This window comes from Homo sapiens, chromosome 9 (assembly GCF_000001405.40).
Source record: "Homo sapiens chromosome 9, GRCh38.p14 Primary Assembly".
Lineage (NCBI taxonomy): Eukaryota > Metazoa > Chordata > Mammalia > Primates > Hominidae > Homo > Homo sapiens.
In genome coordinates this window covers 74,098,092-74,123,960 of record NC_000009.12, presented here as the reverse complement: position 1 = coordinate 74,123,960, position 25,869 = coordinate 74,098,092, and the positions used below count along the sequence as shown (strand labels likewise).

Sequence of the window (25,869 nt, the reverse complement as noted above, 5' to 3'; positions counted from 1 at the left end):
ATTGAATTTAGTGTTTAACTTGTTTTGTCATTTAGGAAATCTTTTTTTTTTTTTTTCTAGCGAGGCCACCTTGGTAGGAGAAAGTAAGAAGATATGACCAGTTATCTCCTCCATCAGACAAAGGCACTATTGATTGTTCAGGAAATTAAGTGGCCCCCTTTGCACCACAGTGCAAAAAATGTACTCTTCTTTGGTGAATCTTTATTATGTTGATTGTTAAAGTGATATCTGTACATATTAAATGTGTTATGGCCTTAAGTGTTACAATCCTTGCTCTGTGTATATTTACATTTATATGTGTATCAATATTCTCAAGCAGGAACACAGCACTGCCCTTCCAGCTCCCTCCCCCAGCTAGAGGACATCTGGCAATTTGACATTTTGGTTGTCACAATCTAGGGGACAGGGCTACTACTAGCATCTACAGGGTAGAGCCAGTGGTACTGCTAAATATCTTATAATCCATAGTACTGCTCCTGCAATGAAGAATTATCTGGCTTATGATGTCAATAAAAATAATAATTTTCATCAGAAAAGAGTTGTATCATTTTCAAAACACTTTCACATGCATTATTTTATTGATGCTCATAAAGTCATTGTGAGGTAATAAGCTTTCTAATTTATGGATGAGGAAATTGAGGTTTAAAAGGGAAAAGTGACTTTACCAATGTCATATTACTAGAAAAGTGAAGGTGTTAGAGCACGAAAATTAATCTTCAGCCCTCTCTTACTTTCCATACTTTTTCCTGGCAATGTCCTGTGGGCAAAGATAAATGTGCCAGTCTCCTTCACTTCAAGCCCAGCATGGTACTTTCCACTTGCTAGAGCTTCAAAAATGTGTTTGTTGATTGACTAATTATAAATGACATCAAGGACAGTCAACTGTATTATTCCCCCCTAGTTTTTAAATAAGAAATGTCAACTGATATGGTTTGACTCTGTCCCCACTCAGATCTCATCTTGAGTTGTAGCTCCCACAATTCCCACATGTGGCTGGTGATAGCTGGTGGGAGGTAATTGAATCATGGGGGCAGGCCTTTCCCATGCTGCTCTCGTGATAGCGAATAAGTCCATGAGCTCTGATGGTTTTATCAAGGGGAAACCCCTTTCACTTGGCTCCTACTCTCTCTTGTCTGCCACCACGTAAGACATGCCTTTGCTTCCCCTTTGCCTTCAGCCATGATTGTGAGGCCTGCCCAGCCATGTGAAACTGTGAGTCAATTTAACCTCTTCCATTTAGAAATTACGCAGTCTCAGGTAAGTCTTTAGTAGCAATGTGAGAACAGACTAATATAACAACTCAGATCCCTAGGAAAGATTTCTGTGTAATTCAACATACATTTCCTGTTTTACATGAATAGATGGCTGTAGCATGTCTGGTTGTTTTTTTTTTTGTTTGTTTGTTGTTTTGTTTTTTTTTTTTTTAATTTTGCTCTGGTGTAAATCTTAGAGTAGTTCAAAATGTAAAACCCCAAAACTTTTAGCTAGCAACAGGATGTAGCCATTCCGTGGCTTCCTTTTAACTGAATATGCACAGGCAGAGGAGCCAAGAGAAGGAACCAGCTTTTCTGAGTGACAGCATATTTCAAAGACAGGTAAAGGACAAACTGGAACAGAACTGGGGGTAATACATTGAAAACAAAACAAAACACAACAAGAAACAGTAACACGCATGGATCTCTGCCCAGATTCCCACCCAAAAACTAATTTATTAAGCTGATATAATAACACTGTGCAACAATAGCCAGGCTAGCTTAGCTTTATATTTAGCTCAAGAAGCAATTAAAGACAAAAAGAAAAAGAACACTCATACTGTACATGATGAACAAATCACAAGATGTTCAACACATTTGTTTAGCAGACAGTAGAAACAATCCACCTGCAATTTTTGAAATGTTCTCCAAACTTGGGTTAAAATTTTGTAAAACTGAAGCAAGCAGCTAACTTGGTCAATTCAGTTAAGGGGGGAAGAAAACCCATAGTTATTTGGCAATATGTCAAAATACGTTCTGACAGAGAAAAAAACTCCACATTCAAACTGATGATTTGGCTGAAATTTTCACTTTTTAATTGGCGCTTCTGTTCTGATCTGAGGCAGGCTATTTTTTTATTTTTAGCATTCTTTACCTTCTTCCATGCTTAGAGTCTCAGTTTTTTCTCATCTTCTGTTTCACAAAGGTTCTAGCTACTGGAACTGATCTTACTTTTATCAGTACATGTATCAATTTTTCTACCTCATGTATGAGTGCATATTGAATTTCTTTTTAAAACTGAGGACAAAATTAACTATGAATCTTTGCTGTGAGTGCTTGATATTTAACATTGAAATATTGAATGAAGAAGGAGACAGATTTATGGTCAACATGGGAGATCATGAGTTCAGTTTTTGTCTATTTCCAACTTTAGTTTTCTGTTTTCTCAATATTTACAAAGAATATAAAGGTGAGAATAAGATTGTTTGCAAACCTTCTCTATTAAAAACTTTATTATATAAATAAATATAAATATATGGTTATATTTTAGTGCTTCCCTGATGTAAGGTGAATGAAAATTTCCCCTCTCCCGCTTAGTCTTGTCTTATATTATCTGATGATTTTTAAAATATTAAATAGACTGGGTTTAAATAAATCGATGGCATTTGATGAAAAATATTTGATATGGTAAAGTAATGCTGTCAGAAAGTAAGTAAATAAGCCAGATTGTTTTCATTATTATGTTAAAGCTGATAATGTACCTGTTCGCATTAAGCATCCTAAATAAAAACCAGTTTTTCTCTGAACAGTGTTTCTTCCTCTTCTTCCCCTCTCTCACCACACACTCCAATTCAAACTCCTAGAAAACAAGAAGCTTACCTGTCTTGAAGATAGACCCCATCCTTGCACTCATGTGTTGACTCATACACATTTATTTCATAAGGGATATTTTGCATTTAAGTTATTTTATAAGGCAAAGAAAAATCTGAGATTATACTTTATTCTAATTCTACATACTCTGTTACATTTTAACCTGCATTAAATAAGAAGACATGAGAATATTTTTGAGAAAATAGAAGTGGGGGAAATATTTCCCCAAATACTTGACCTCAAAGGATTGGACTGATTACTCTCATCCTACCATGTTGAGGGTTTCGACAGTGTTGACAGGATGCTGTCTTAATATCCAGTGATAAGACAAACCATTTGCTTGTGTCTTGTAGTCTTTCCTTTTCACACGCCACCCTACTCCTGCCTGCCTCACAGCAGTTGATTGTGACATCCTCTCTTTTCTACATGGTTCAGGCCAGCAGATGTGTGCTGCTTCAGTGCTGATGAGCAGGATAGCAACACTTCCTGGGCAATGACCTTGTCATGTGACACGCAGTATGGCTATATGATGCTACGAAACAGCAGCAGCAGGCCAACCAAGCTTGCAGCCATCCAGAATGGCATGATTCATTTTGATCAAAGAATCAAGATGACTTGCAGACTAAGAGAAATAGCTCTAACCTGAAGGATGGTCTTTCTATAAACATCCCAAAAGGTGACATATTCTGGACTTGTTTATTCACATGCACATGAAAAAAATATAGTTGTCTTCTCACTGTTATATTTGAATATAAAAAAGACAACACATGAATATTTGTACTTCTTAATGCCTTTTATTTTCCCTGAGGCACTTTGTGGGATTTCATAACTTATGAACTACATATTCTCCCAAACCTTATGTATGCTTAGTGTGCAAGACAGAGCTACTCGTTCCTTTAGAGACTCAGGAAAAATTACAATGATTTCCTGGATTGCAAAATAGATAAATCTCATGCTTCAAATATATAACTTGATGCTGGGGAGGTTGCAGAGAAAAGGGAACACTTATAAACTGTTGCTGAGAGTGTAAATTAGTTTAACCATTGTGGAAAGCAGTACAGCAATTCCTCAAAGGGCTAAAAACAGAAATAGCATTTGACCCAGCAGTCTTATGACTCGGTATATATGCAGAGGAATATAAATTGTTCTACCATAAAGACGCATGCACGACATGCATGCAAATGTTCACTGCAGCACTATTCACAGTAGCAAAGACACAGAAACAAACTAAATGTCCATCAATGACAGATTGGATAAAGAAAATGTGTTACATTTGGAATATTACCAAATATTATGGAATATTACTCAGCCATAACAAAGAAAAAGATCATGTCTTTTGTGGGAACATGAATGGAGCTGGAGGCCATTATCTTTAGGAAATTCACACAGGAACAGAAAACCAAATACCACATGTTCTCACTTATAAATGGGAGATAAATGATGAGAACACATGGACACAAAGAAGAGAACAACAGACAGTGGGGTCTCTCAGGGGTTGGAGGGTGGGAGGAGAGAGAGAAGTAGAAAAAATAACTATAGCATACTAGGTTTAGAACCAGGGTGATGAAATTATCCATGTAACAAACTCCTGTGATGCGGGTTTACCTATATAACAAACCTGAACATGTACCCTTGAACCTAAAATAAACATTTAAAAAAAACCACACACACAAAAAACTTTCAAACTCCCACAAATTTAGAACTTGCTATACACCCTGAATGTTTGTGTTCCCCCAAAGTTCACGTTAAAGCCTTATCAAAAAGGTGATGATATTACTGGGTTAGGCCTAGTGGAAGATGATTAGGTCTTGGGGGCTCCCATGGATGGGGTTAGTGCCCTTATAAAAGAGGCCTCAGAGAGATGCCTTGCAAGCCCTTCTACCATGTGGGGATCAGAAGGTACGATGTATGAACCAGGAGGTAGAACCTCACCTGACACTGAATCTGCCAAGCACCTTGATCTTGGACTTCCCAGACTCTAAAACCATGAGAAATAAATTTCTGGTGTTTATAAATTACCAGTTTGTGGTCTTTTGTTATAGCAGCCTGAATAGGATAAGACACAATCATACTGCTTCATCAAGAACTTTCAAGAGATAAATAGGAGAAAAAAATGAGAGACAAATAATAGTTTCTTATTAATAAAAGACTAGATATAAGCTTAACAAAGTAAAAATCATAAAGAAAGTACTACACATCCACATTTGGCTTTATTTCCCATCTTTTCATTTACAACGGTATACCATTTTCTTTAGTTTTGTAGGATTTAGCTATTTCCCTTTTAAGACACCTTTGTAAGGATCTTCTTTCCTTCCTACTTTCCTTTCCTCTATCTTCCCTCCTTTCCAATATCCTTTTCCTTTTGTGAAAAACGGCCTTCTAAATTTATCTTGGGTTGGAAAATAAGGCAACTTCATTTTATATTACCTTTGAGATGTGAATGGAAAACACTACTTTTGTCTTGAGCTTAAAGACTTTCATTTCAATAACAGCTACAAAATCAAAACATAATAATTTTTTTAGCTATAAATTGTCTGTCCAGTTAAATAGTGAATTAATATCCTCATCTGAGTTTTCACCCACCAGGTTAGTTATTCTATTTTCTAACCATTTTACTAACTGATAATTGCTTACCTGCTTCATCTTCATCATCTTTGTTATGCAGAACACATTCTTTTAAAACAGCTAGAGCTTTTTCCTATCTTCTGAACACTGTCATTTGGGGAAAAAAAATGTATTATCTAAGTTTGCAATGGCTGTATTAATTTAAGATTCTTCCAGGTTTTATTTAAAGTGCTTACTTTTATGTGCTTTGATATTTAGTGTTTCTGGGATCCATAAAGTTAACTGAAAAGACAAATGGCACTAGGATGTAGTGCTGTGGGTGAAAGGCTATGCCTTAATTTGGCAAAGTGACTTTAAATTAGGCCCCAGTCTCAGTTGGTTCCCCATTATTTTGTTCCATTAACGTGGATTTGGAAAAAACTTTCAAACACCGACTCTTGTAAAATCTTCCACAGCCATCAGATTGTCTCCTTAACAGAAAATAAGAGAAGAAAAATGTCACGAAGAGCAAGGATTATCTTAACCTTGTACTACACTGATCAGAACCCTGCTCGAAGTCAATGATTGTACAACTTACCAGGATAACCCAGTGACTCAGGGTTGCAGAATGCTAATCTTCAGAATCAGGGTCAGAAACAGCACAAGGATTAAAGACATTGCCACTCATAATGAGTGCCAGAGTAAAGGCTGACCACATTTCACTGATATAAGCCACAGAAAACATGCAATTACTTTAGAAGTTACTTTAGTGTCAGAAATTATGAAGAAGTATTTAATTGTGACTCCTTCCTCCATTATTCCATCTGCCTCTAATTTTTAACTGTATCAACTTAATAAAGAGCATTGTTTACTAAAGATACATTGACCACTGTGTTTTCTTTACAGGAAATAGCTATTTTAGCAGCATGAACAATCGGTTTTCACAGATTCAGATTATTCCGCACATGTCTTTTCTTTTGCTGCATTCACTGAGCAGAAATTCTGTTGAGCAGGGGAGGGTCATTCCAGAAAAGCATCAACTGTCAATAAGTATGTGCTCACCTTACCATTTTTAGTGTGGATATCATTTAAAGAATTGGCTATTTCATCATCAGTTAACTGAATAGTTAATTTATTTGTTGGGAGGAGTTAGGACACAACATGATTAATTAGCTTAATGTATGTGTGCTAAATGCAAATACAGAGACAGCAGTGCCAAATTATGCATGCTTCATGTTCATTGGGGTTGAGTAGGAAAATGCAGTCTGGAAGCACACAGATTTCTACTGAGTCCTTCCTTTATTCTCTAGGGACTAATTCTCAGATCAGCCACACAGCATTTTATTTTTATCATTGAAACTGGGAAAGAAGCTGGCAAAATTTCCTGAATTGTAATTAAGCTGTCCAAAGACATTTCTTCACAGCCCACATTAAATGTATTAATATTAGAGCAATATTTATGTAAAATGGTATATTTAAACAGTATTTGGTGGTAATCTAATAGCCATTCTTCCCTTATATTGAAAAATTAAAAAAAATCAAAACCAGCAAGAACAATATATGTATTTAGGGGAAAAATGTACTTTCTGTAACTGAGGTGAATCAAAAGGAAAACATTGATAATATTCAAGGAAACAAGATTTCACATATTCTACGCTTTTAATAACATAATTAAAGTAATTGGAAAGAAGTGTCTGAGTTGGGAGCATAGCAGGAACGCAACCCAGTGTTTTTCAGGAGCTAAGGTGCATTTTGGGTTGAGGGTTGATATACTAACAAAAGTATAGCCTATTAATTCTAATTCTAATGTGTTTTAAGGCCTGACTCTACTCTGGTGTGTTACACTGCAATTCTGGATTTATTACTACTACATAATTGTAATTATAGTCATTTTGTACTATTACCTTTGCTTTCAGTCTCTCCTTTTCGCTCTTCCTCTCTCTTAAAACCTCCCTCAGAAGCATTAAAGCAAGGGAGCTAATAAAAAAAATGACTGGATGCTGTAACACAGATGCCACCTGACAGGTCTGAAAGCCTCAGTCACACATAGACCACTGGACTGTGTGACTTTTCTGATATGCGATGGCTATGACAATTTGTCCTGAGTTACCTAGAACCAGAAATTTTAAAATACATATTAGTTTATTGATGGATTGAAGGAATGAAAAACACCGTTCATTGTTCCATGAGTGTTATGTTTGTGGAACCCCATTTATAAGAAAGGAAATTCTTCCCTGATATCTGTGAACGTTGCCCACAAATAATTTATAAATATATATCAGTCAAGAGGTATAGAGTCAAATGGAAAAGCTTATCACGGCCTCTGCCAAAGATTCTTAATGCAAAGCATAGGAGTCTTCCTGTAATGTCATAATTATCAGCTGGAAGCTCTCCATACAAAATGTAAAAATAACCATGTGCCATCTGGTAATTGGTTTTCCCAGCAAATACATATGCAAAAGGGAATCAAGAGCGACAACAAAATTGAAAATCCAGTGCACAGGAATGCTGTGTGACGGCCGGAGTTTTAATAAGCCACGTGCTGTGAAATCAGTTTTACAATCCCATAGCATGATAATATAAAGTATCATAGGGTATATATATAAGCATGAAAGTGCCATTATATTTATGGATATGGGCAAAGTGATCGCACTTAACATTTGGGCTTCCCATATTGAGAGATATCATTCTTAAGCGATTTTACCTGTAGTTAAATAGCAGCTGATGAAAGTGAGCTAAAATCACCATGACATTTAGCCACAACTGAGGTTTATTTCCCCAGGTTTATTTCTCATGACTGAGTTTATGGCTATACAGTTTTCTCTCATCAAAAAGTGGCAGTCTCTTTTCAATATAGCACAGATTTTCATTATGCCATTAATGGTTTTAAAAAAAAAAAGTCTATCAGTGTGAAATTGTTCAATTCTATATTGAAATCATTGGGTCAATATAGAAACGTGTTATGCAATTACTTTGACAGAAAGGTTTGGCTCAGTCTTTTTGGAACCTTGTACTTGGCTGCTCTTGCCCTTCAATTCAGCCTCTAGGAAACTTTTCACGTCCTGCCATGGCAAGACAGAGGAAGCCCTAGCAAGAGAAAACATACGGGTAGCTTCAAATGCATCACTGGCCTCCTCCAGTGTAAAGCCTTCTAATATACAGTATTCTGAATAATGACAGTACTGATCTGTTGCTTAAAGTATCTTCCTTTACAGTATCTCCAGACACTTATTAATTGTTTAGTTCAATTCCATTCAAATCCTTCTGTGGAGGAAAGGGATTAAAGATGGCTTTCCAGTGGGTGCCTTACACAATGCAAAGTTTGTCTTCTCCTTCCTGGTTCCATCACCCTGAGAGTGAACCACTGATGTTTGTCCTCACTGTAGGAGCCAAGGCCTTTCATCCCAACTTCACATGTCCAGAGTTTGATACTAAAAGAATCAAAGGGAACTAGGCTGTTGGGACACACAGATGACTGCAAACAATTCTGGGGTGCTGAATGAACTCCAGCAGTGCTCAAAGATTTAAATTTTGTTCAGAAATAGATATGTAACAAAAATTCAATACTAAAATTGTTGAGTCTACCCTGCAATATTTTTAATTATTGATGTATATTCAAAACCAATGCAATTTTATTTTTGACCTCATGTAACTAGGACACGGTCAGAAATGGGCATCTTCTTAGTCTGGTATGTGTGAGGCCAGACATGTGGCTGTGATGGTCATGCAACACTTCAATTTAGTGTTAATTTGATTGCTTGGACAAAGGACAGGGGCTTTGATTTTACTTTTTGAGAAAACGAGGGAATAAAAGCTGAAATAACTTTCTGATTCCCACAAAGGTAATATATATTATACAGCTTAGTAGCTATGGATGAATGAAACTCTAGCCCCATAATGAAGAAAAAGGCGTGTGGATTTATATTGCAGTGTATTGTTTAAGAGCATATCCTCTGGGTGCAGTCTCAGCCTCACCACTATTCACTCTATGACCTTAGTCAATACCCTTGCTTTCTCTAAGCCTAGTTGTCTACATTTGTAAGTTGTTGATAATAATAACATAGAAGCACTGGAAGGGAAGTAGAGTAAAATAATAGTCAAGAGCATCATGTTAGGAGAAATATTATCTGAGTTTGCATTCCAGCTTCAAAATGTACTGCTGTGTCATCTTAGAAGAATTATTCAACACTCCTTTGCTTTAATTTCTTCATCTGTAAAATGCAAATATCAGAAGCGAAAACCTTAAAGAGTTGCTGGGTGCTGTGTGTAGACCTCTTAAGATAGCGTTTCACATTTCAGTTGAACTCAAGACAAACTACTGCTGTCATTATCAGAATCTTACAATGACGTGTGAAAGTACTAAGATGAGTAAATAAAATAAGAAGTAAATAGAGTAAAAATTGATTTTTAAAATGTTTTAAAGTGTCTGTGAAGTAGCGTGCATGTGCTTCTGCATATGCAATTCTGTAGAGGAGTAGGTATATATAAATGTACCCAGAAAGTTTGGTATATGAGAGGGCATATATGCAAGGTATGACTTTCCTATACTTTAAATTCTGTCAAAGAGAGAGGAAGAGAAAAAATAAAGACCAGATATTTTTCACCGAAGGTTGGTGTAAGGTAAATGCATGAGGGATGCTAATCTACTGTTTTTTTTTGTTTGTTTTGTTTTGTTTTGTTTTTACCAGAGTTAATTTAAGAATTAAATACAGTAATATATCAATTATTGGATTTATATATTATTGTATGTTGAAAGGGTGAAATGCTGATCATTATTCATAGTATCCCCAATATTATTTTTTATTTAATTAATAACTCTTCTTAGGTGGATTATCAAATTCAGATCCCACCACTTCAGGGAAACACTGTGTTGTCTTCCACTGTCTTCTGCAGATACCAGTTACTCTCCCCTTTCCGAAACAAGCGGGCAGTAGCCATTGGAAAGGACATAAAGTCAGGCTTAATGGAGACTTCTTTCCTCGTTATGAAATTACTATGCTTATGCAAATGAGAAAATGTTGATGGGCTATGGTGGGACAAGAAGAGACTTTTCCTGTTATCCATTCTTTTTATTTCAGTGTCTTGCCACAGTGACCTATTTCAGCTCTGATGGTAAGAGTCCCCAAAGTCACACTTTTGCAATGAATCAAAGGCAGGAAGTGTCAACTTTTATTTGCCTGTGGAAGTCAGTTCTATGGCATCAGTGGAAGGGCATCTGTGCATTTTGATACAGACAAGGAAAACGAGCCACCCAATCTTCTGGCTGGTTTATGCTCACACTAATGGGTAGAATCACTATATTCCTGTGATTATTTTTTTAAAGCACCAGAAACTTCACTATTTCTAAATTTTTGCTAAACTAGATGTAATTCCCCAAGTTCTATTTGGCTGGGCTTGGTGGCTCACACCTGTAATCCCAGCACTTTGGGAGGCCAAGGCAGGTGGATCACTTGAGGTCAGGAGTTCGAGATCAGGCTGGCCAACATTGTGAAACCCCATCTCTACCAAAAATACAAAAATTATCTGGGTGTTGTGGTGGGCACCTGTAATCCCAGCTACTTGAGAGGCTGAGGCAGGAGAATCACTTGAAACTGGGAGGTGGAGGTTGCAGTGAGCTGAGATAGAGCACTGCACATCAGCCTGGGCAACAAAATGAGACTCCATCTCAAAAAAAAAAAAAAAAAAAAAAAAAGAAAATAAATTCATGCTTTTCTATTTTCTAAATGCTCTTTTCACTACAAATTGTTTTCTTTTCAAATTCAATAGATAGTATTCCAAATTCAATATCTGCTTCTGTGCTCTTCTTGAGAAGAGCACAATAAGTGGTGATACACAAAGGATGATGATCTCCCAGGCAGTTCTATCCATTTCTCCCAAGTCTCAGAGGCAAGCTCATTCCTCAACAGTACTGCAGGCAGAAATATATGAACATGACCAAGAGGTTGATTTGTAGGTAAAATGAAGAGACCTTTTTATAAAGTGAGAATACCCCTCACATTGCTAGCCTGTTTGGTTCATCTGCTTAGCAATAGCAAAAAGCCCAACCACAGGAAGGAAAAAGAAATAAGATTGGGATTTTTCAGCTTTCTAAATCCATATGAAGCTCTGTAAATACAGGCTTTAACTTACTCATGGTTCTATCCTCCGAATAATGTCATTTAACTAAGATCTTTGAATAATAAAATAAATGCATACGATGTCAAATTTTATTCTAAACTTTCTAAATCTTGTTTTAGAAGTAGAGATGGCAAAAAAAGTAGTTTTCAGAATTCGAATATTCTCTCATTATTTTCTTTAAAAGACAAAAAGTGTTTACCATTTTGTGTCTCAATAATACAGTGATTCCAATATTATTCATTGAACTGCATTTACGTTATAAAATGAATGAGTTTACATATAGGGTCACCAAAAACTGTAATAGTTACATGAAAAAAAATCCACAAGACATTTGAGGACAAGGCAAGGGCTGTTGGTCAAGAGTTACTTTATTGAAGGAGAACTTCCCTTGAGGCCTTTCAACTCTATTCATTTGAAAGTACAGTGCAGGCTGCTGACAATATTTGGTATTTAGTGTATTTATTTTCTCAGAAGCAGTGGTTTTCTGTGATAGAATAGAAGAATTTGTCTTCTTAAAATTAATTAAATTTTGTTTTTCACAGAATATTTTAAAACTCTAATGTGCCATTTTCAGTATAAGGACAACACTCAGATATTACAATTATTTTCAATCAGAAAGTTATACTTCAAATTATCAATATTCTCTTGGTATCCTCACTTTTGATACACTAGTGATTATACAAACCATAATAATACAAATAAAAGAATAGCATTAATTTATTGAATGATAACAATATTCTTAGCAACATGACTAGCTTAATATAATCCTTTATTGTTGTTTAAAAAAATTTTAAGAGTTTTATTTAACTTCTCTGTAAATTGTCTTTCTGCCAAGGTATTATTTGCACTTGTCTAGACATTGTGTATATTCATTTTTGGAAGTAATTCATTTAAGTGAATATTGCATTCTAAAATAAAACGCAAAAATTCCATGAACCTTCACTCTATTTACCATTTATTATATACTTATAAATAAGTCATAATATTGGATTGAGTAAACTAAATACAAAGGCAAAATAGAAAGTTAAACATAATAATAAGGTTACGTTAAAAAATAATTGAAAGCAAGATGCATGAGGATGGTGGTTTCCTGGTTTGCTTAAGAACTGATATTTCCATTTTAACCAACTTAAATGAAGCTGTAGACTGGAGTGTTGTGTAGAATAATAAGCACTAGGGTTGATGTTTTAAATTTCTTAAAGCATAAAAAGCATATAAATAGTAGAAACTGACATATAAAAACAAAAGAATTTTGGAATATTTAAAAATACACTATAAATAAGACTGCATATAAATACAATCTTTTTTAAAAAGGCAATTTAGAGAGTATGATTGGTATACATAATCAAGTGAATTATGCTATTTTTAGGGGTGAAATGGAAAAGGACATCACTTCTTCATACTGCTTCTTATTTCTAATCCAACCAACCATCTGAAGATGTTTCCTTTACATTTATTGAAATATGCCACAGATTGATGTACCAATGACCACTTCTTTCTATTTAAACAACAGATGGAATGTTGGAATTGAAACCAGATTTGGGCATTCTGTTTTCATATAACAGTGCCTAGTATTTATCTATAAAATACGAAAATAAACCATTCTGGTAAGCTACTTGCAGGCACCATCAGTATTCAATGAAATAGCCATGAGGGACTGGTGGGGCAGAGAGAGAAGAGCAAGGTGTGATGTACAATATTTAAGTAATCAAAAACAAGATAAAAATATGTTGTTGCTCAATGTACCACCCCAGAAAAATAAACATAGCTGTATTTGAGTAAATACTGTTATTTACCTAGTTATAGTAACACATGATTAGGAAATAATCTCTAAAAAGATCTAGCAAAAAATGCATTCCTGTTGAGTGCTAATGCAGAATTTCAACTTGATTTTGGTTTTCATTAATGTAAAAAAGTAATCACACTGTCTGTGTTATAACTTTTTTTCTGTAATATTCTTTGAGGTATCTTTGAAGAGATAGTGATGAAGCCTATATTTCATCATTCACTAGATTCAATAATTTAGAAGCTCCAAATATAACCTCGACTTTCCACTTTGTTACAAAGTTCCTAATATTCATAATCCAACAATAATATGTTTTAACAGATTGTAACATAACCTTAGGTAGTTTATTTAAATAAGGGTTAGAAAATGACCGAGAGCATGCAAGTGTAATGTTCTTCAATCTCCCAGAAGATGTGAGCAGAAAAGAGGAAAGCTAATAAAGGTTGTGTCTTCAAGATATTCTGGGCAGTGGTTCGCATCTTCTCAGTCTATCTTCAGTTCATTTTGAAGACACAATTCTCTTTTTAAGCATTTTAATCCTAGTCTGTTGGATTGCATGTCTCTCAATTGCTGTGCATATGCAAATAAGTAACAAATTATCCTGGTTTCATAGCATAATGGACACTTTTCAAAAACCAGACAGCATCACAGGGCATAGGTACAAACATCTGGGTCATCTCTTTTTCATTTATTAAGCCTCTCAGAAAATAAGGTCACACAACAAGAAGAGCAGCAACAACAATAATACTAATATTTATTGAGCATTTACTATATTCTCAGGCACTATTAAACTTATTCTTTATGTTTTATTGTATTTATTCCCCACAACAATGTTATAAGGAGGAACTTTTAGCTAAGGCACAAAGAGTTTCTCAGGAACTTGCCCAAAATCGCAGAGCTAATCAGTGGTTGAGACATAGCTTGATTTCAGTCTGGCTCCAACTCCTTTGCTTTTATTTATACCTACAAACATGGAATTTCATTTATTTATAATGTCTTTTCTTACCTCTATACACAGGAACACTCATGAACATACACCCAAACCTTGCATAATTTACATAAATAAACAAGAGCAACAAACAAGAGCAATTTACATAAATAAACAAACAGACTACAACTTATGAATGGATTGTAAAGAGTTCACGGCTGGGTGTGGTTAACACTCCTATAGATCCAGCTACATGGGAGGCCACAGTAGGAGAAATTTTTGAGCCTAGGAGTTCAAGATCAGCCTGGGCATCATAGCAAGACCTCAACTCTATAAAAAATTAAATAATTTTTTTTTTAAAAAGAGTTCAGAAATAGATATGTGACAAAAATTCAATACTAAAATTGTTGAGTGTACCCTGCAATATTTTTAATTATTGATGTATATTCAAAACCAATCCAATTTTATTTTTGACCTCATGTAACCAGGACATGGTCAGATGTGGGCATCTTCTTGGTCTGGTATGTGTGAGGCCATACTTGTGGCTGTGATGGCCATGCAACACTTCAATTTAGTGTTAATTTGATTGCTTGGACAAAGGACAGGGGTCTTGATTTAACTTTTTGAGAAAATGAGGGAATAAAGCCAAAATAACTTTCTCATTTCCACAAAGGGGCGCCCCATTTATAAGGTCCACACTATTGACTTGTATTTAGTGTGGATCTTATCTTTGCATGTTAGCAGTTAAGGTAGATTCCTCACCTGATACCAAAAGCTCGTTTAACATGTGTTATACCTAAAAAAATTCACCATTAATACTGTACTAATGGTCTTATAGATCTTACCCAGCAGACATCCCCATATTACTCTGAGTAAGAGTTTAAGAAATTTAAATGTTCTTCATCAATTTTGATGAGATTGAGACTTTCTTTTCTATTTTACCACCTTTCTCTTTGCTCCACCTGATAGAAAACAGGAGTGGAGAATCCCCCAACTATAAATCATTGCTGATGGTTTGGGGCAGAGGATCCTGCAAAGTCTGGGATCTAATACAGGAGAAAAAAAAAAAGCACTAGGAAGTAGTTAAAAATCCAAACTTTTGAGACAGACAGACAAACATGGTTTTTCTGTTAAATGTGCTTTCAAATAAGGGTTCCTCCACTTTCTAACCTCTTTATCCTCTCTTAGTCTCATTTCATTTTATGTAAAATTACAATCATAACTTTTAACTTATAGACATGTTGTGAAGATTGAATTATACCTGTGTCTATAAAGAGCCTAACACAGTGTTTGAGAGAACATTTAGCAGTTACTTTTACTATGGAATAGAGTTGGAAGATAGAGCTTTTTTTCTGGAGTACATTTGTGGGGATGTTGTATTTCAGAATGGTGTACAACCTTTCCACTCTTTATTTTTTCCAAGCCGTGGAGGTTAGTTAAGAAACATAAATATAAGGGTGTATTACTCAAATCTTAAATTTAACTTTGAAATCTAACATTTAACATAGAACAACTCTAGTTGGGGAGGAGTGGTGGCAGAGGTTAAATGTATCTTGAGAACTACATAAGTTAACCTATAAATAGGCAAGTAACCAGCTAGTTGGGAGAGTCCCCTGAAAATGAAACAATAAGCTCTTTTATCATTGTTCTCATGGGAAAATTATTTTGACACACATATTTATAGGTTATAAAAAAATGAAGAACCCATTTCAACATGTTTAAAGTAGCCTTGAATAATATAACAGCGCTGAGAGGTTTTTCCACCCTGCTATTATCCTAAAATCATGGGTAGATGCAAAGTTAAAGTCAGGAAGGGCCAAAGTTTCCATCAATGAGTCATCAAGAAATTGGGCCAGCCAAGGTCCACTAATGCAGGCAGGTAGCACAGACTTTACCCCATGCTTGCTCAGTCAACAAAACATTCACAGATTAAGTCTCACTATGTTGCCCAGGCTGGCCTCAAACTTTCCTAGGGAATTGAGATATTACTGCCCATTAAAATGTACAGGGTTTTCCACCCCAAACCACTTCATTAGTTGATAGCAACAACCTCATTGGTTGCCATGTGACATACTACTTAATATCCTGCTGATGTGAGATAATGCTTTGTAAATTCCAATATTTCCTGAGTAATTTTTTTAAGTTTTGGATGTAAAGCTATAAAATCTCAACTAACATAAAAGAGAGGCACCCTGGTAAGAAAGAGTGAGAGACTATTACCGTTCCTGTCAAAATGGAAGTTATACCCAGGGTTGCCAGATAACATCTACAGTGCCTAGATACATTTGAAACATAACCAAGGAATAACTTTTTGTAAGTGTACTCCAAATAGTGCATGAGACATAATTACGCTGAAGACACGATCATAAAATATAAATACAAGTAAAATACAAATTTATCTGGGTATCCTGTGTTTTTATTTGCTTAATTTAGGGACTGTTGTTGACTTTGACATTGACAAAAAGATTACCAAAATTGCTCTATGCTTCACCTTCTATAAATCATAGAGCAACATACAGCAATGCCAGTAAGAGTTCCCAAAAAACTTCCAAGGTAAATGTTCTTACAATGTTAAAGATGGAGACAGAAGTAGTTAACGGTGACAATCTAATGTTTAGTTTAACTGAGTATTGTCAGTGACCTTCTGATTTACTTAATAAGCAAATATTTTTTCTTTTTTTTATAGGCCTCTCATTGCTTTTAAATATAATAAACAAAAAAGACAAAAACAACCATTTTTCTCAACTTACCAGAATGTAGGATGGCCTGGTTTTTCTCATTTTAAGTACTCTTTTAGGTTTTAATTTATTTGGAATTAGTAACTATTTTCCAAGACCTTACCTTCTTTTAAATTCAGAAGAAGTGCATTTCAATATTACCCACTAAAGGGAATAAGTAGAAGCTCTCTAAGATTTGCTCCTTTTGGGTCTCGCAGAAGACACTTTTTCTTCATGTATAATAGGAACATATGGTAAAACTTCTGGTTTATTTTTGCTGTCTCTTGGACAGCCTTTCACTATCATGTTCACATAGCAGATGACATGTAGAATTTGTCCATCTTGGGGCAGAATTGTGCCTTCTTCCCCAAACCACTCATCACGTCCAGACTCCTAAACTTAACTCCAACACTTCCAGAAATTAAGGCAATTTTGACAACTGGATCCTCTTAGGTTGAGCAATCTACGGCATGAAAATTTTAGTAAATCAGAAAATCTGAAACATTAATTTGCTAGGGCTATTGTTAAAAAGTACCAGAGACTTGGCAGTGTAAACAACAAAATTCACTTTCTTATAGTTCTGGATGCTGGAATCAGATCAAAGTGTCAGAAAGGTTTGTTCTTTTTTGATGGCTGTGAGGAAAGGGTCTGTTTCAGGCCTCTCTCTTTGACTTGTAGATGGCCCTCTTGTCCCTATATCTTCTCCCTATGTCTTCACAAGTCTTCCTTCTGTACATGTCTGTGTCTGGATTTTCTTTCTTATGAGAACACCAGTCATTTTGGATTAGTGCCCACTCCCTATGACACCTAATCTTTAAAGACACTATCTGCAAATCTAGTCACATTCTGAGGTCTGAGGGTTAGGACTTCAACATATGAATTTTTGTGGGGAAGCAATTCATCTCACACATCTGGTAACATCAAAACATTTACAAAATTACTTTAGGATAATGGAGCAAAGGAAAGACGGGGTCTAAAACCACAGGTTAAAGCATTAAATAGTGAAATACAAACAGGCAGAAAGCTCAGATAAGCAAGGGCACGAAGGAAAACTGCAATGTTTGATTCTTGGCAAAGAATGACGAATACATTAATACTGGATCACATCTTCCTCTCTTTTGAAGATTCTTCTCCGTATTAAAATATAATTTCCCAGAACATCTGTCCCTGGAACTGTAGCTCCTTTTTTTCTCCTGCTCATACCATACACCTGCTTCTGTTTCCTCCTAAAGTTTGGGAAACGTGCATTTATCAAGGGCACTGAAAACCTTCCAGACAATTCTGAGATAGTTCTACAACTCTTCTAAGAATGAGTAGGGCACTCAACATTCATCTCCACATTGATGATGGCAATGTGGATTCAATATTGGCATTTTGAACCAGTAAAAAAGAAACTCAGTTTCTCTATTGAAGAATTTATAGCATGTAGTATCACATTTAAAGATACATACAATCTAACTCTTCCTCCTACATTAATTAGTACATCTATCTTTATGTGAGTAATTTTTTTCTTTAACTTATATTTTAAGTTCTGAACTACTTGTACAGGATGTGTAGGTTTGTTGCATAGGTAAATGTGTGCCATGGTGGTTTGCTGCACAGATCAACCCACCACCTAGGTATTAAGCCCAGCATCCATTAGCTATTCTTCCTGATGCTCTCCCTACCCCCACCCGCCCCAACAGGCCCCAGGGTGTTTTGTTCCCCTTCATGTGTCTATGTGTTCTCATCATTCAACTCCCACTTACAAGTGAGAACATGTGGTGTTTGGTTTTCTGTTCCACCATTAGTTTGCTGAGGATAATGGCTTCCAGCTCCATTCACGTCCCTGCAAAGGACATGATCTCGTTCCTTTTTATAGCTGCATAGTATTCCATGGTATATATGTACCATATTTTGTTTATCTAGTATGTCATTGATGGGCATTTGGGTGATTTCATGTCTTTGCTATTGTGAACAGTGCTGCAGTGAACATACATGTGCATGTATCTTTGTAATAGAATGATCTATATTCCTTTGGGTATATACCCAGTAATGGGATTGCTGGGTCAAATGGTATATCTGTTTTTAGGCCTTTGAGGAATCACCACACAGTCTTCCACAATGGCTTAACTAATTTACACTCCCACCAACAGTGTAAAAGCATTCCTTTTTCTCTGCAACTTCACCAGCATCTGTTGTATCTTGACTTTTTAATAACTGACATTCTGACTGGCATGAGATGGTATCTCATTGTTGTTTTGATTTGCATTTATCTAATGATCAGTGATGTTGAGATTTTTTTTCAAATGTTTGTTGGCCACATGAATGTATTATCTTGAGAAGTGTCTGTTCATGTCCTTTGCCCACTTTTTAATGGGGCTGATTGTCTTTTTCTTGTAAATTTGTTTAAGTTATTTGTAGACTGTGGATATTAGAGCTTTGTCAGATGGATGGATTGTAAAAAATTTCTCCCATTTTGTAGGTTGTCTGTTCAATCAGATGATAATTTTTGCTGTGCAGAAATTCTTTAGTTTAATTAGATTCCATTCGTCAACCTCTACTTTTGTTGCAATTGCTTTTGATGTTTTCACCATGAAATCCTTGCCCATGCTTATGTCTGGAATGGTATTGTCTAGATTTTCTTCTAGGGTTTTTATGGTTTTGGGTTTTACATTTAAGTCTTTAATCCATCTTGAGTTAATTTTTTTATAGTGTAAAAGGAAGGGATCCACTTTCAATTTTCCACATATGGCTTGCCAGTTCTCCCAGCATCATTTATTAAATAACAGAATCTTTTCCCCATTGCTTGTTTTTGTTAGGTTTGTCAAAGAACAGATGGTTGTAGGTGTGCAGTCTTATTTCTGAGTTCTTTATTCTGTTCCATTGGTCTGTATGTCTGTTTTTGTACTACTATCGTGCTGTTTTGGTTACTGTGGCCTTGTAGTGTAGTTTGAAGTTGGATAGCCTCCAGCTTTGTTCTTTTTGCATAGGACTGTCTTGGCTATTCAGGCTCTTTTTTGGTTTTATAAAATTTTAAAATAGTTTTTTCTACTTTTGTGAAGAATGTTAATGCTAGTTTAATGGGAATAGCATTGAATCTATCAATTACTTTGGGCAATATGGCCATTTTCACAATATTGATTCTTCCTATCCATGATCATAGAATGTTTTTCCATTTGCTTGTGTCCTCTCTGATTTCCTTGAGCAGTGGTTTGTAGTTCTCCTTGAAGAGGTCCTACACTTCCCTTGTTAGCTGTATTCTTAAGTGTTTTATTCTTTTTGTAGCAATTGTAAATGGGAGTTGATTCATGATTTGGCTCTCTGCTTGCCTGTTGTTGGTGTACAGGAATGGTAGCAATTTTTTCACATTGGTTTTGTATTCTAAGACTTTGCTGAAGCTGCTTATCAGCTTACGAAGCTTTTAGGCTGAGATGACATGGTTTTCTAGATATAGGATCATATCATCTGCAAAAAAATGGTAATGTGACTTCTTTTCTTCCTATTTCATACCCTTCATTTCATTATTTTGCCTGATTGCCCTGACCAGAACTTCCAATACTATGTTGAATAGGAGTGATGAGAGAGGGCATTCTTGTCTTGTGCTGGTTTTCAATGAGACTGCTTCCAGCTTTGCCCATTCAGTATGATGTTAGCTGTGGGTTTGTCATATGTGGCTCTTATTATTTTGAGGTATGTTCCTTCAATACATAGTTTATTGACATTTTTTGACATGAAGGGACATTGAATTTTATTGAATGCCTTTTCTGTGTCTATTGCGATAATCATGTGGTTTTTGTCTTTAGTTCTGTTTATTAGGTCAATTATTTTTATTAATTTGTGTGTATTGAATCAACCTTGCATCCCAGGGATGAAGCCAACTTGATCATGGTGGATAAACTTTTTGATATGCTGCTGGATTTGGTTTGCCAGAATTTTATGAAGAATTTTTGCATCAGTGTTCATCATGAATATTGGCCTGAAGTCTACATTTTTTGTTGTATCTCTGCCAGGTTTGGTATCAAGATGATGCTGGCCACATAAAATGAGTTAGGAAGAAGCCCCTCCTTTTCAATTGTTTGGAATAGTTCTGGTAGAAATAGTACCAGTGCTTTTTTGTACCTCTGGTAGAATTCAGCTCTAAATCTGTACTGTCCTGGGATTTGTTGTTGTTGTTGTCGTTAGGCTATTTATTACTGTCTCAGTTTTAGAATTCCTTATTGTTGTATTCAGGGATTCAATTTCTTACTTGTTCAGTTTGGGGAGGGTGCATGCATCCAGGAATTTGTCCATTTCTTCTAGATTTTCTAGTTTATGTGCAAAGAGTTTTTTATAGTATTCTCTAATGGTTGTTTGTATTTATTTGGGTCAGGGGTGATATCCCCCTTATCATTTTTGATTGTATCTATTTGAGTCTTCTATCTTTTCTTCATTAGTCTAGCTAGCGGCTTATCTATTTTATTAATTGTTTCAAAAAACCAGCTCCTGGATTCATTGATTTTTTTTAAAGGTGTTTTGTGTTTCTATCTCCTTCAATTCCACTCTGATCTTGGTTATTTATTGTCTTCTGCTAGCTTTCGGGTTTGTTTGCTCTTGGTTCTCTACTTCTTTTAGCTGTGATGTTAGGTTGTTGATTTGAGATCTTTCTAGCTTTTTGATGTGGGCATTTAGTGCTGTAAATTTCCACCTTAATATTGTTTTAGCTGTGACCCAGAGGTTCTGGTATGTTGTCTCTTTGATCTCATTAGTTTCAAAGAACTTCCTGATTTCTGCCTTAATTTCATTATTTACACAGGAGTCAATCAGGAGAAAGTTGTTCAATTTCCATGTAGTTGTGTGGTTTTGAGTGAGTTTCTTAATCTTGAGTTCTATTTTGATTGCTCTGTGGTCTGAGAGACTATGATTTCAGTTCTTTTGCACTTGCTGAGCAGTGTTTTACTTCTGATTATGTTATCAATTTTAGAGTAAGTGTCATGTGGCAATTAGAAGAAGTGTATATTCTGTTGTTTTGGAGTAGAGAGTTCTGTAGATATCTATCAGGACCACTTGATCCAGAGCTGTGTTCAAGTCCTGAATATCTTTGTTAATTTTCTGTCTTCTGGTGGCATGGGCTTATGAGGGGATCTCCTGATCTGTGGGTTGCAAAGATACATGGGAAAAGCATGGTTTCCTGAGTGGGGCCGCACAATTACTCTATGTGAGTAATTTTCTTTAGGCTTTATTAAACACAATTTTCTCCATTAGAAAATTCATGAGGTATACCTTGATTAGCTCTGAAGAATACATATTTTGCTTTGGGAAAAACATCTGCAATTTATTCAAAGTAAAAAAGTATGGATTATATTTTTGGGAACTGGAGGATATTCCCTATTGTTTTTCTCTATAGCATTCTAAGGGAAAGTTGAAACTTTTGATTAGCTACTGATAAGCATAAAACACTCTATGAAGCAGAACTTTTCTGCGTTTTATAATATTTTTCTTGGTATACTACATATAGGTGCACTTAAGAGCACACATAGAGGTATGTTTAGAAAACCACTTCTGCCGAATTAAGAAATGCCATTTCGAAGCAACCTGTTATAAAAACAACAACAGCAACAAAAACATTCTGGCAAATTTGTGGCTTTTAAAGACAAAATGAAGGAAACTTACTGAATTTGTTTAATTTTCCTACATTTGTACCTATGGTTGAAAAAAACTGAAAATAAAGTCAGATTTTATATACTTAGACATGCCTGCCAGCTTCCATTATTCTTCTCAAGATAGGCCTTTTTCTTCTGGTAGTACACACATTTTTAAAAGGTAGCATTAGAACAACTAGATATATCAATATACAAATATTGACCACAGATTTTTGACCTTTTTTTTTTTTAAAATTAAGACTACTTTACTTTTTCCCTCCATGACAAAAGTAACACTTGATTTGTATAGAGAAATGTAGAAAGTCCATGAAAAGGAGCAACAACAAAAAATTAATCAGTTCCATTACTCAAAGATAAAAATTTCGACATATTTTATCACCAGTGAAAATTATATTTTTAGTGATAATATTGCCAAAATATTTTGTGCATCTGTTGCTGTTTGTAGTAAAGGAAAAAAAAATAAAAAGAGCTGGTGTATAAATAGGAAACAGCTATTAGCAAAGTAATGAATGTCTGGTATCCTGTTTGTTGTTTCAAGATGAAGAATAATTATTGGCTTAGCTAAGAATCTCAGTTTTGATGAGAAATTTGTTAAGTGAAATGTTGAGAGTGTTTCTACGTTGCTAGCCCATGGAATTTAAGTAGAGAATCATTACCAGTAGGTAGAAATAATTAGACAGGTCCAGAGAAAGCTGTGTTTTAATAAGTAACAATAATCCATGCAGAGGTACTCACTGCACTATTAATTTTCAGAGAAAAAGAGCTCAGTTCTTCGTGCTAAATTGAATCAGGGATATTAGGAGTCAGAAAACTGGTTATGCAAAATAAAACAGAACTTTGAAAAGAGGGAACACATAAAAACTGGAGTTAAGCTGGGCGCAGCGGCTCACACCTGTAATCCCAGCGCTTTGGGGGTCCAAGGTAGGAGGATCGCTTAAGACTAGGTGTTCAAGACCAGTCTTGGCAACATAGTGAGAACTCATCTCTAAAATAAACAAACAAATAAATAAATAAATAAATGAAAATAAAAACCAAGGTCAAATTACCAGGTGTTTGGAATAGGGGCAGATTCAACAAATGGGGAAGAAGGTTGAGAGCGCAGGTGATCTGAAACAGCTTCCTTATCTATGTCTGAAACCACAATAGACATTTAGGCCCCAGTGGGGAAAGGCTAGAGGGCCATAAAGACAGGTTACTTTTTGCCTTGTCTCCTATCTCACTGAACTCTCACTCTCAGGTTTCTTCCTAGGCTTCTTCCACCTACACCTTACAAGGATGTGTTGTTTCCTAACAACAGCCCCATACTTCTCAGGAGTAACTCTTCAACATAGGTCAGTGACTTACCTCAGTGGTAATCTCTCCACAGTGAATATCCCAGAGGATAACATTCTTGTTTACTTTTGTTTCATCTTTTCTACCTTTCTTCTTTTATTACTATACAGCAAAAGTAAATCTAAACTGTCCAGGCTGACATCAACCAACTAGCTTACCATATTATCATTCAATAGAGAAGATACATGTTTGTTTGAAAAGCATGTGAGATACAAGAAGCTGATAGAGGGTTCTACTTCAGATTCTAGTGATGACACAATCAAGCTTGATTTGGATTTGGAAAACAGAGAATATTCCAATATTAGAGAAGTTACAAGGTTGTTTAGACTATTTCATTTTGAGTTCTTTTCCTTGAGATTGTATTTCTTCTTAAAGGAATTCATTTCTCAGAGTCATTTTTTGGGAGACGGGAGAGTAGAACAGGTTATGTTTTTTCTTTCTTTGCTATCCAGTGGTGTATAGCAACTAAATAACAAAAATTACAAACTCAAATTTTTGTCACTGTGTTAGATAAACAATACTAGATCCTTACCCGGAGTACTGAGAACTGAGGAAGACTGCTATCCTCTGTCATATTCTTCTAAGACCAGGAGTTGGCAAACTACAGTCTGTTGCCTGGATGCCTTTTTGGAAATAAAATTTTATTTTAGGCTGGTCATGGTGGCTCAAGCCTGTAATCCCAGCACTTCGGGAGGCCAAGGCTGATAGGTTTTGCCATGTTTCCCAGGCTGATCTGGAACTCCTGACCCCTTGAGTTCAGGAATTCGAGACCATCCAGGGCAACATGACAAAACCCCACCTCTACAAAAAATACAAAAATTAACTGGATGTGGTGGTGCACCCCTGTAGTCCCAGCTACTTGGGAGGCTGAGGTGGGAGGATTGCTTGAGCCTGGGAGACTGAGGCTGCAGAGAGATGTGGTTGTGCCACTGCAGTCAGGCCTGGGGGACAGAGTGAGACCCTGTCTCAAACTAAACCAAAACAAATAGACAAAATCTATTTTAGCACAGCCACTCCTATTCATTTTTGTATTCTCTATGGTTGCTTTTGTATTACAAGAGCAAAGTGAAACAGAGACCAAAAGAACAACAAGCTATTATTCTGGTTCTTTACAGAAACACACACACACACACACTTACACGCACTTACACACAAACACAGCCTCTGTGCTTGATCCTGACTGTTCAATATAACTTTTCATGATGGTGGGAATACACTGTATCTGTGTTGTCCAATACAGTAGCCACTAGCCACATGTGGCTATTTAAATTCAATTTCAAATCAGTAAAAATTAAATTAAATCAACAAAGTATTCTTTGGTGCAAAAGTAATTGCAGTTTTTGCCATTACTTTTAATAGTTGCTCAGTCACTCATGGTTACGTGATTAAGAAACTATGAAAATTTAACATATTTTACTTTAGTATTTCTACTTTTGTTCAGTTTTAAATATTTGCAATATTTCATTATTCCCCATTGACTTTTGGTTTGTTTGAAAGTATGCTATATAAATTTCCAAAGAGATTGTATCTTCTAAGCTCTCTGTCTGCTTTTTATTGAATGAACTTAATTGCCCTCTGGTCAGAAGTTGGTTTGACCAATATAAATTTTCTGAAATTGAAGGATAGCTTTAAATCTTAGCACATGGCCAATTTTTGCAAATGTCTTTCCATATGTACTTGAAGATAATGTTTTCTGATAAGCCCAATGTTTATTATCCATATATTATTTTAGGCTTTACAATTTGACATTCAAATAATATCATTTTAGATTTTTGTTTTGCTTGATCCATGGTTTACTGAGAGAAACATGTTTAAAATTGCCATAAGAAATATTGCTTTGACCATTTATTTTTGTAGTTATGTTAAATTTGTCATTATATATTTTGAAACTATGTTATTAAATAATTGCAAGTTTATAATTACCAGATCATCCTAGTAAATTGCAACCTTTATGTTTATGAATTGCCTTTATATTTCCAAT

The 25,869-nt window shown here is 35.5% G+C and overlaps 1 long non-coding RNA gene across 1 annotated transcript in view, besides 1 other annotated feature; it reads left to right on the top strand.

Annotated features, from left to right (window-relative positions):
- The window catches only part of LOC101927329 (uncharacterized), a 154,205-nt gene extending 151,426 nt beyond the window's left edge, over positions 1–2,779 (top strand). Inside the window, exon 5 of the long non-coding RNA XR_242624.4 lies at positions 61–2,779. This is a non-coding gene — a long non-coding RNA (uncharacterized LOC101927329). The remainder of the gene's footprint in view (positions 1–60) is intronic.
- Positions 20,286–20,787: an enhancer, noted in NCBI's record as "NANOG hESC enhancer chr9:76718090-76718591 (GRCh37/hg19 assembly coordinates)". NCBI's record gives its function as "activates a minimal SCP1, AML or CMV promoter by ChIP-STARR-seq in primed H9 embryonic stem cells {active_cell/tissue: H9 hESC(primed)}" and the evidence as "EXISTENCE:reporter gene assay evidence [ECO:0000049][PMID:30033119]".